The sequence below is a fragment of the Homo sapiens genome, chromosome 10, assembly GCF_000001405.40.
Source record: "Homo sapiens chromosome 10, GRCh38.p14 Primary Assembly".
NCBI lineage: Eukaryota > Metazoa > Chordata > Mammalia > Primates > Hominidae > Homo > Homo sapiens.
Window position 1 is genome coordinate 15432799 of NC_000010.11, and position 11095 is coordinate 15443893.

The 11095-nt window shown below is 43.4% G+C and overlaps 1 annotated feature.

Moving 5' to 3' along the window:
- Positions 1312–1606: an enhancer, noted in NCBI's record as "tiled region #6046; HepG2 Activating non-DNase unmatched - State 4:PromP, and K562 Activating DNase unmatched - State 5:Enh". NCBI's record gives its function as "activates a minimal TATA promoter and a strong SV40 promoter by Sharpr-MPRA in HepG2 and K562 cells {active_cell/tissue: HepG2 | K562}" and the evidence as "EXISTENCE:reporter gene assay evidence [ECO:0000049][PMID:27701403]".

Sequence of the window (11095 nt, forward strand, 5' to 3'; positions counted from 1 at the left end):
GGTAATCTAATTTTACCTTTGATTCCATCCAGTATATACGGGATTGGAGTCCAGGAAACTGAAAAATTATCTTTTGTATTATCTTTTATCGTTCTCTTTAATTAATAAAAAATAAACCAGACATCCTTCCAAGTTTCCAGGCTATTTGGCTGGGTTAAGAGAAGGCAGAATAAATACAGTGAAAGCTAGTTGCTCAAAAAAACAAGAAACAAAACTCAAACCCAGAAAGAAGTTATATAGTATTTTCTCACTCCATTCTTGGTTAAAATTCAGTCTCAGCGAACAATTTGTTACAAAAAAAATTGAAGTCTGTAATATTGTTGAAGTTTATCTCATTTTTTTCTTTAAATTTATCTATCTCCCTTTTTTCTTTAAATTTCTCCCTTAAATTCTGGATTGAGAATTGACAATTGATTTGAGAAATGGAAGAAACATAAAGGAGAAAAGGGAGCCTTCTGGTTTAATGTGACGTAAAGTTCATAAAGCTGGAATGAAACTGTGCTTTTCATGCTTGGTTTAGGTGCCTAAGACATTTCAAATGATGGCTACAAATATACATAGAATAGGGGGAAATTTCTCTATTCTTTCCTAAGCCTTGGGTTGGTTTCTGGGGAATATTAACACACACAGACTACAGACTCCCTTTACAAAGCTGGGCATTTTCACACATGCAAATACAGTTTTGGGGGCTGGTGAGCATTATTTGAGTGGTTGCTTGGTATCGTTTTTTAAAAAAATAATCATTTTCAATTATCTTTATTTATCTGTTTTAATTTTTTAGAGACAGGGCCTTCCTCTGTCTCCCAGGCCAGAGTCCAGTGGTGCAATCATAGTTCACCACAGCCTCCAACTCCTGGACTCAAGTGATCCTCCTGCCTCAGCCTCCCGAGTAGCTGGGAATACAGGCATGCACCAAGCCAGGCTCTTCTTGTTTAAATTCAGTTCAGTGAAATATTTTTAAAAAACAGAATCTAAATATTTAATAGCAAATAATGGGATAACATTTATTAAAATTGTTTTTAACTTTGAGACCAATAAGCATATACACAAACATATAAAGAAAGTATTTTGCAGGATGGATGGCAATATTAACTTTCTTTATGACTCATTGTTGAGCTTTCCAAAGTTATGTTAGCTAAATTATTGAAGGGTTTCATTGATAGAAATTATGAAACCATCCTTGAATACAGACAGTTCACTAGCAGGCAAGCAATCTATATTTCACACAGCTGGAAGATGTGAGGAGATAAGGAGTAAAGGCTGTGGTGTGTTTATCACCGCTGATCAGCACACAGACTTCAGATATAAGAATGTGTTAAAACAATTTTTCCCCCAGGTTTTTCAATTATATGCTTTAAGACTGACATTATCAGCGGGATCACCTTTTAGAATGGAGATGAGCAACTTAACACATACAATACTATTAATAATTCTTCAGTTTTGTCCGTCAGCCACCAGAGGGCAGTATTTTCTCTCTTTCTCTTTCTCCCTCTCCCTCCCCCGTCTTTCTTTCTCTCCGTCTCTCTTCTTTTTCTCTCCATTTCCTTCCTTCCCCCCCTTCTCTTTCTCTCTCTCTCTCTCTCTTCTCTCTCTCCATTTCCCTCCTTTCTTCCCTCCCTCTCTGCGTCTCTTTCTCTTCTTTCTCTTCCTCCATTTCCCTTTCTATCGCGCACGCTTTCTCTCTCTACCTATTTCTCCCTCTTTCCCTGTCTCTCTCCCCCATCCTTCTCTCCTCCATACATCGCTTTCACTCCTCATCTCTCTCTCTCTCTCTGTCTCTCTCTCTCTCACACACACACACACACACACACACACACACACACACACACTGCATACTTCATGGAGATAACTTATCCCATGGGGGACTGACCTAGTTCTGCCTGCTCCCAGCGCCCCTCCCTCACTTTCTTGCACCATGTGCTCTGGTCCGGGCTGTCCTCAGAGCATTCACTCTGGTCTCCTGGATTCTAATCTTCCAGGGTGCTGCCAGGAGTGGTATTTTGACCACATATCTTTCCTGTTTAAGATCCTTCAAGGACAGCGTCTCTCTGGGATTCAGGGACATTTGGACACGTCTCTGTCTTAGCCACTTACCCCATGGAACTGTCATGATTGATTTATGTGCCCATCTTCCACACTGGCATAGGAACTCCTCTAGGATGGAGACCTGGCAGCAGATATTGTTTTTGGTAGCCTCAATTCCTAGCAGGATGCCAGACACATAGCACGCTGTGGCCTCAGTGATTAACCAGTCATAGCTGAGGAACTCTATATACTGACACTGTTGCATTTTGTCAAATATGTATGCGTTGACTCGCCCTCTCTGCCAGCCTCCGATTCACACCAGAGGAAGCTAAGGAGGGGTTTGAATCCTTGCATCAACCGGGGCTTCCCCTTGTTATATCCATTTAAAGAGGGCTCGAGGGTTAACCATTGCTTTAAACATACATTTATAGATTTTAAAAATTAGGCCAAATGTGGTGGTTCACACCTGTGATGCCAGCACCTTGGGAGGCCAAGGTGAGAGGATCACTTGATGCCAGGAGTTTGAGACCAGCCTGAGCAAAATAGTGAGACCCCCATCTCTAATAAAAACTTAAAAATTAGCTGAGCATGGTGGTGCATACCTGTAGTCCCAGCTACTCAGGAGGCTGAAGTGGGAGGATCACTTGAGCTCAGGAGATCAAGGCTGCAGTGAGCTAAGATCTTGCCACTGCATCCCAGCCTGAGCAACAGAGCAAGACTTTGTCTTTAAAAAAAAGAATAAAAAATAAAAATATATAATTAATAAAATATAAACATAAATAAAAATGGACCACCTTAGCAGAGATTAGTTGACAGCTGAGAGCAGGAAGGAGATCTGGGCTAGAGACTGGGAAGGTTGGGGTGTGCCTGGGAGAGGCTGGGGCTGGGGGCAGGAGGACAAAGTATCCCAAACAAGGTTTCCAGCGAAATCTTTAACGTTCACCAACAAGGCAGTGCTGGACTTGGTTTCACCACTAGCAGCCTCTCCTTCTCCATTTTTGTAACATGTGCTCTGTTTTACTTTGAGCAAGAAAATTAAGATATATGGTTTGGCTTTAAAAGGCATAGTTCTGGGGCTGGGCATGGTGGCTCACACCTGTAATCCCAGCACTTTGGGAGGCCAAGGCGGGTGGATCACGAGGTCAGAAGTTCGAGACCAGCCTGACCAACACGGTGAAACTCCATCTCTACAAAAATACAAAAATTAGCGGGGCATGATGGCACCCAGCTACTCAGGAGGCTGAGGCGGGAGAATCGCTTGAACCTGGGAGGTGGAGGTTGCAGTGAGCAGAGATCATGCCATTGCACTCCAACCTGGGCGGCCAAGCGAGACTCCGTCTCAAACACACACACACACACACACACACACACACAAAAAAAAAAAAAAAAAAAAAAAAAAAAAAACAAAACCAAAAGGCATAGTTCTTTTTTACCTGGCAACACACGCACATGGTAAACAGAAGTCCAAACAGTACAAAGGGGGTAGAATAAAAGTTGTTTTAAAAATGGCAAGCGAGGCTGGGTGCAGTGGCACGCCTATAATCCCAGCACTTTGGGAGGCCGAGGTAGGTGGATCACCTGAGGTCAGGAGTTCGAGACCAGTCTGGCCAACATGGCGAAACCTTGTCTCTACTAAAAATACAAAAATTATCTCGGCGTTGTGGCACACACGTGTACGCACAGCTGCTTGGGAGGATCACTTAAACCCAGGGGGTGGAGGTTGCAGTGAGCCGAGATCTCACCACTGCACTCCAGCCTGGGCAACAGAGTAAGACTCCATCTCAAATTAAAAAATAAAAAGGGCAGGCAAAATATCTCTTGCTTTAATTTGTCTATTTCATCTTGCTTAGTTTTTCTTTTTCTTTATTTTAAATGCCTTCCCAAAGCTTGAAACAATTTTGTTTCCAAAAGATTGGTCTACAGCCATAAGAGTTTCTAAAACATTACTGATGAGCGTTTTAAGGATGTCTTATCTAAAATGTGGTTATGCAGTCATTTGTATTTATACATCTCCTTCTCAAGTCTGGGTAAACAAAACTCATCAGAGCACTTACCAAAGTCAGTGGAGAGCAGCTGGTATAGGGTGCGCGTCAGGAATGAGTAAGGCAGGTGAATCAGATGTCTACCATTCGCACCAATTGCTGCAAAATCAAAGACAGATCAAAGCCCTCAGAATGGTTGGTCCGAGCTTGCAAACTTTTCCTTTTCACATCTTGCTGGCAAGTGCTATTCAGGGTGAAAAAGATCTGGGAGAGAACAAAAATGATTATTCTGTTTTGTCTAGATGTGGAAATTCTGCCCTAGACTCCTTTGAGTTTAGAAGAAAAGGTGAAAGTTATTGCTAGATCTAAATAAGTCCCAGTTGGGAAAGATCTCAAGACAAAAAATTTTCATGGCATGTTGATACTTCAAAGATGTAATGTGAGGAGGCTTTTATATTTTGGATTTGAATGAGTATGGTCTCTTCATATTTACTCCATTTTAAGGATATACATTCTTAAAGGGTGTTGACAATGTAAACATTTCTTAATGTGGTCTCAATTGCATTATTTAAAAAGCTGTTGAAATGGAAAAAGGAGTCCAGACTGGAGACACGTCGAAGATCTAGAGAAAAATCCAGTGTTCAAAGGCGTGTGATAAAATGAATGGGAAGGAAATATTTGGAGACAAAAACCAAAGAACCTAACGGAGAAGAGGATTTTTATGGCCATCTGAAGCTCCTACAGCATGTTAATCTGAACAGTTATGGTCCAAGATGAAAGTGTTTAGTACACTGTTCAGTAAATATTATTGTTGGTGATGAAAAGTTTATTATGGAGAAAAAGGGAATTTTGTGGATGAAGACAAAGAAAATTGTGAGGCAACATGTCCAGAGATCTTGAAGGGCTGCGAAAAATTTTTGAAATGTAGATAAAGAGTAAACTATTTTCTCCAAGTATACAATAAGAATTTGGAGTGATATAAAATAATTTATATTATATAATTTATATAATTATATGTAATATATAATTTATATAATTATATGTAATATATAATTATAATTATATAATGACAAACAATTTAGTTAACTTTTGCCTAAAACATTCCAAACAGAAATAACAATTTATACTAATTAAAAATTTACTGACATAAACTGTTCAGTGATTCACATAAACCTGGTAAAGATATGTGTTATTAATAATTATTCAGGCTGGATATGGTTGCTCACGCCTGTAATCCCAGCACTTTGGGAGGCCGAGGCAGGAGGATCAGGAGGTCAAGAGATCGAGACCATCTTGGCCAACATGGTAAAACCCCGTCTCTACTAAAAATGCAAAAATTGGCTGGGCGTGGTGGTGCGTGCCTGTCATCCCAGCTACTCGGGAGGCTGAGGCAGGAGAATCACTTGACCTCAGGAAGCAGAGGTTGCAGTGAGCCGAGATGATGCCACTGCACTCCAGCCTGGAAACAGAGTGAGACTCCATCCAAAAAAAGAAAAATAATAATAATAATAATTATTATCATTCAGACTTGGGCTGAGGTGGGAGGATCACTTGAGCCCAGGAGTTTGAGACCTGCCTGGGCAACACAGAGACCCCTGTCTCTACAACATAAAAATAATAAAGTCATCTGGACATGGTGGTGTGCACCTGTAGTTCTAGCTACCATGGAGGCTGAGGCAGGAGGATCACCTGAGCCCAGGAGTTTGAGGCTGCAGTTAGCTATGATTCTGACTGCACTGAAGCCTGGGTGATAGAACAAAACCCTGTCTCTAAAATAATATTAATGACAATTATTATTATTCAGACTTGGTACTGAATATTTACCATGTCTTCTGAATGCTCACATGTCTCACATGTTGAGTATTCTTGAAGAATACTTCAGCTGGGCATGGAGGCTCACACCTGTAATCCCAGCACTTTGGGAGGCCACAGTGGGAGGATCACTTGAAGCCAGGAGTTCAAGACCAGCTTGGGCAAACTAGCAAGACCCCATCTCTATGAAGGAAATTTAAAAATTAGCCAGGTATGGTGGTGTGCACCTGCAGTCCCAGATACTCAGGAGGCTGAGGCAGGAGGATCACTTGAGCCCAGGAATTTGAGACCAACCTGGGCAAAATAGCGAGAGCTGATCTCCATAAAAAGAATTTAAAAATTAGCCAGGCATGGTGGTATGTGCCTATCAGCTAGGCAGGAGGCTGAGATGGGAGGATCGCATGAACTCAGGAGTTTGGGGGTGCAGTGAGCTATGATCGCACCACTGCACTCTAGCCTGGGTGACACAGCAAGACCCTGTCTCATACACACACACAAAAGCCTCTCAAAGTTGGTTTCTTCCATGGGTATTCTTTTCTTCTAGGTAGCATCCTTGTGTTCCAATATTTACATGAAGATGATGCCTTGCTGTTTTTCCATTTTAGTTGAGCAAAATTTGTGGTAGGGGAGTCCAGAATGAGAAAAACAATGACAATTTCAAAAGCAGACCTCCCTTATTTTAGAACTTTGCCCTGGATTTCATTTTATGGCCAAAGTCCAGCTGGCCAACCTCTCTTACCCTGCACTGCCTTCTGTGATTTTGTTTGGGATGAAGGATCAGAGGAGACAGTTGACAGAGAGCTGACTTTGAGGCCAGCAGCAGGGCAAGCTGGGAGAGAGAGCTCCCCTTCCCTTCACCACGGGAAATGCAGGCAAAGCCCACACCGGTTTGTTTTTTTTCTCACTGATGGCAGAGGAATTCCTATCCCTTGGGGTTTACACTCATTTTGTGTGCTCTCCAAATCTCCCCACTTATCTTTAGACAGACTCCCAACAACCCTCTGGACACAACTCCAAAGGAAAGAGTTCGCGGGCCCACGTCGTGCTGGGGAATGACGCAGCTCACTTTTTCACAGGACGGAAATCTGGGAAGTGTTTAGTCAGTTTCACGGTGACAGGCAGGATATCAGCGGGAACCAGGTCATGACAGAATCCACACCCTGCTCTCCTCCCGTACACAGTAAGAAGCAAGTCTCAGCCAGCCAGCGTAGACTCAGAAACAGAGGGTGAGGAAGAGCTCCAAGCACTGTTTTGTTTCCTTTTTTTGCACGATTGAGCTTGTAGAAGCAGAGGTAGGAGAAAAAGAAAAAAAGAGAGAAAGAGATGAGAAGGAAGAGGATCTATGCTTCCAGGGCTAAAGCAACCCTGGCAGAGGTGGGGCTGCGAGGTAATCAACAACGCTTTCATTCGCTCTTCAATGTTTTCAATTAATTAATTGAAAAAAAATTTCTTGAGCGGCCCTCTTATTGGCAGACAACGTTCTAGGAGCTAGGGTTACAGCAGCGGAAGGTCAAGGCCCTGCTATCCTGGAATTTCAGTTATATTATATAGAATATCTGTCATATCCCGGGAAGGAAGATAATATCCAAGTAAACAGATGGTCCATGCAATTTTAGCTAATGAAAAGTGCTTGAAGAAAAGCCAGGCAGGGTTAGGGAATAAGTAGTGTGTGTTTGTGTGTGTATGTGTGTGTGTGAATTTCAGACAAGCAGTCAGGGAAGGCTTCTAGGAAGAGGTGACCTTTGAACAGAGGCTCTGGAATGAGGCGGAGAACAAGCCATGTGAACAATTTATCTGTACAACTGAGGAGTGCTTTCCTCTTCCTTAGCAGCGTGCACTTGTGTGCAATTTCTCCCCAGGATGGGACCACAGCCCCACTTCTTGAATCATAGAGAGACCGGGGAGTTAGAGAGAGGCATCTTCCACCGCAGTAGAGTTGGGTGACCAATATCAGAGCTGCGGCTGGACTGGGAGGGTTGGATCTGAGATGCAGTGACGTGAGGGTGGAGGGAACGGTACAGCCTCTGATTGTCACAGGGCTGCCGCCCAGGATACAGACTTGGCTGGGGATGGAACGGGTGTAGTTGGCTCTGCAAGTGCAGTTTTGACTCCAGCACAGCTACTCATCAGCTTGGTGCCCTGGGCACATTATTTAACCACTCTGGGTGTTAGTTTCTTTGGAGAATGGGGTTCATAAAGGTCCCTCTGCCACAGAGTCATTGGACTAACTGAGCTGATATACATGTAGAGGGTCCTCAGGAGACTGCCCGGCATAGAATCAATTCTACATAAGCTTTGGCTGTTATTAACACGTGCCACACTATAGGGACCCTGAGCTCTCCCCACTCTCCCACACCCCTACACCTACTCCTCAATAGGCTGATTAGTCTCCTTATAATACAGCCATTCTTGTCCCCCCTGGAAGCCACTTCTTCAGGGCCTCCACAGAGTCCTGCACAAAGGGCCGTGGCTTTGAACCTAAACACAAAGGGCCGTGGTTTTCACCAACCCGACCACACAGTATCCTAAGGGTAGATCCTGCAGTGCCTCCTGGCAGCCTTTCCTGACTCTTGGGATAATTTCTTTTCTAGAGTTGGATGCACCTTTCTGGCCTCTTTCTACCTAGAGCTAAAGAAAAAAAAATTCAAATTTAAATTTCCTTGGGAAATCTAGCAACGTTAAAAACCTGTGCCTTTAAATCCTTACGTGGAGAACTGCAGTCAAGAGCACGTAGGAAAATGCAAAAGAAGTGAAGATACAGCTTGATCTAAGGGATAAGACCTAGTGTTTGATAGAAATAAGACCTAGTGTTTGAAAGATCAGTAGGGTGGCTGTAGTTTATAATAATCTATTTTATATTTTAAAACAGCTAAAAGAGAATAATTCAGGTGTTATGAGGAAAAAACAATATTTAAGGTGATGGATAATCCAATCATACCTATTTGATCTCTAAAAATTATATGAATGAATTAAATGATTACATGTACCCCCAAATATGTACATCTATTATGTATAAATAAAAAACAAACTTATTTCAAAAATCAGAAATAAAAACCAAAGAAATGGAGAACATAGCGATTGTTTAAAAACATTGATCTGGTCATGATACTCCTCTGCATAAGGCATTTTACCATCACAAGTGGTCCATTGCCCACTATATCAAGTTCAAACTCTGGCTTGAGGCCAGGTGCAGTGGGTCCTGCCTGTAATCCCAGCACTTTGGGAGCCGGAGGTGGGAGGATCGTTGAGCCCAGAAGTTCAAGACCAGCCTGGGCAACATAGTGAAATCCCATCTCTACAAAAAACACAAACATCAGCCAGGTATGGTGGTACCTGACTGTGGTCCCAGCTACTCAGGAGGCTGGGGTGGGAGGATCGCTTGAGCCGGGGAAGTCAAGGCTGCACAGAGCCATGATCGTGCCGCTGCACTCTAGCCTGGGTGACAGAGCAAGATCCCGTCTCAAAAATAAAACGAAACAAAACAAAATTCTGGCTTGGGAACTTTCCAGCTCGGCCTCTACTTACCTTTCTAGCGTCATGGCTCCACACTGCGTTTCCTTATCTGGGAATCCCAGCCTTACTGAACTTTCAGCTTCTGCAGCCAGCCACGCTCTTTCTGGCCTCCGGCTTTGCTGTGTGCTGTTTCTCCAGCCTGGCGATTTGCTCTGTCCCCAGCCCCTGCACTCCTTTACCTGATCTGCTCCGATTGATCCTGCAGTCCTCCGCGGCTGAGTCACTTCCTTCTGCAGGGAAGCCGTCCTGGGTTCTCCTCCGAGGACTGTCTCAGCAACCATCGCCTTCTCCACTGCAGAGGGTGTCTCCCTGTTCCTAGGGGAGGCCTGAGCACCCCATTGTATGTGTCCCTTCTCGCTCCACCCTCAGAAGCAACCAGAGTAGCAACCAGTGAGTTTATTTATTATTTATTATTTATTTAGTTTTTTGAGATGGAGTCTTGTTCTGTCGCCCCGTCTGGAGTGCAGTGGTGCGATCTCAGCTCACTGCAACCCCTGCCTCCCAGGTTCAAGCAATTGTCCTGCCTCAGCCTCCCAAGTAGCTGGGATTACAGGTGCCCACCACCACACTGGCTAATATTTGTATATTTAATAGAGACGGGGTTTCACCATGTTGGCCAGGCTGGTCTTGAACTCCCAACCTCAGGTGATCCGCCCACCTTGGCCTCCCAAAGTGCTAGGATTACAGGCATGAGCCACCATGCTCCACCTGTTTTAAAAATATATATAAATTTGTGGGGTACAAGTGCAATTTATTTTACATGCATAGTGGTTAAGTCAGGGCTTTTAGGGTGTCCATTACCCAAATGACATAGATTGTACCCCCTAGAGTAATGTCTCATCATTCACCCCTCCCACTCCCTCATCCTTTGAGTCTCCACTATCTGTTATTCCATGCTCTGTGTCCATGGGTACACATGATTTTTTTAGCATCTTCTTATGAGTGAGAACATGCAATATTTGTTTTTCTGTATCTAGCCTGTTTCAGTTAACATGATGACCTCCAGTTCCATCCATGTTGTTGCAAAAGGGATAATTTCATTCTTTTTTATGGCTAAATAGTATCCCATGGTGTATATATAACACATTTCCTTTATCCAGTCATCTGGTGATGGACACTTAAGTGTATTCCCTATCTTCGCTACTGTGAATTGTGCTGCAATCAACAGACTAGTGCAGGTATTTTTTTTTAATCTTTTTTTTTTTTGAGTTGAAGTCTTACTCTTGTTGCCCAGGCTGGAGTGCAATGTCACAATCTCGGCTCACTGCAACCTCCGCCTCCCAGGTTAAAGGGATTCTTCTGCCTCAGACTCCTGAGTAGCTGGGATTATAGGCGCCTGCCACCACACGTGGCTAATTTCGGGGTTTCACCATGTTGGCCAGGCTGGTCTCGGACTCCTGACCTCAGGCGATCTGCCCACCTTGGCCTCCCAAAATGCTGGGATTACAGGTGTGAACCACTGCGCCTGGCCCAGTGCAGGTCTCTTTTTGATATATTGATTTCTTTTTCTTTGGGTAGATATCCAGTACTGCGATTGCTGGATCAAAGGCTAGCTCTATTTTTAGTTCTTTAAGAAATCTCCACACTCTTTTTCATAGAGGTTGTACTAATTTTCATTCCCACCAACAGTGTATCAGCATTCCCTTTTCTCTGCAGCTCGATGAATTTGACTGAAGGCATGTTCTTTGCTTTCTATTAGTTTAGAATCTGTTTGAGGCAATAGCTTAAAATGACACAGAACAAATAGAACTGTAAAGCAGGTA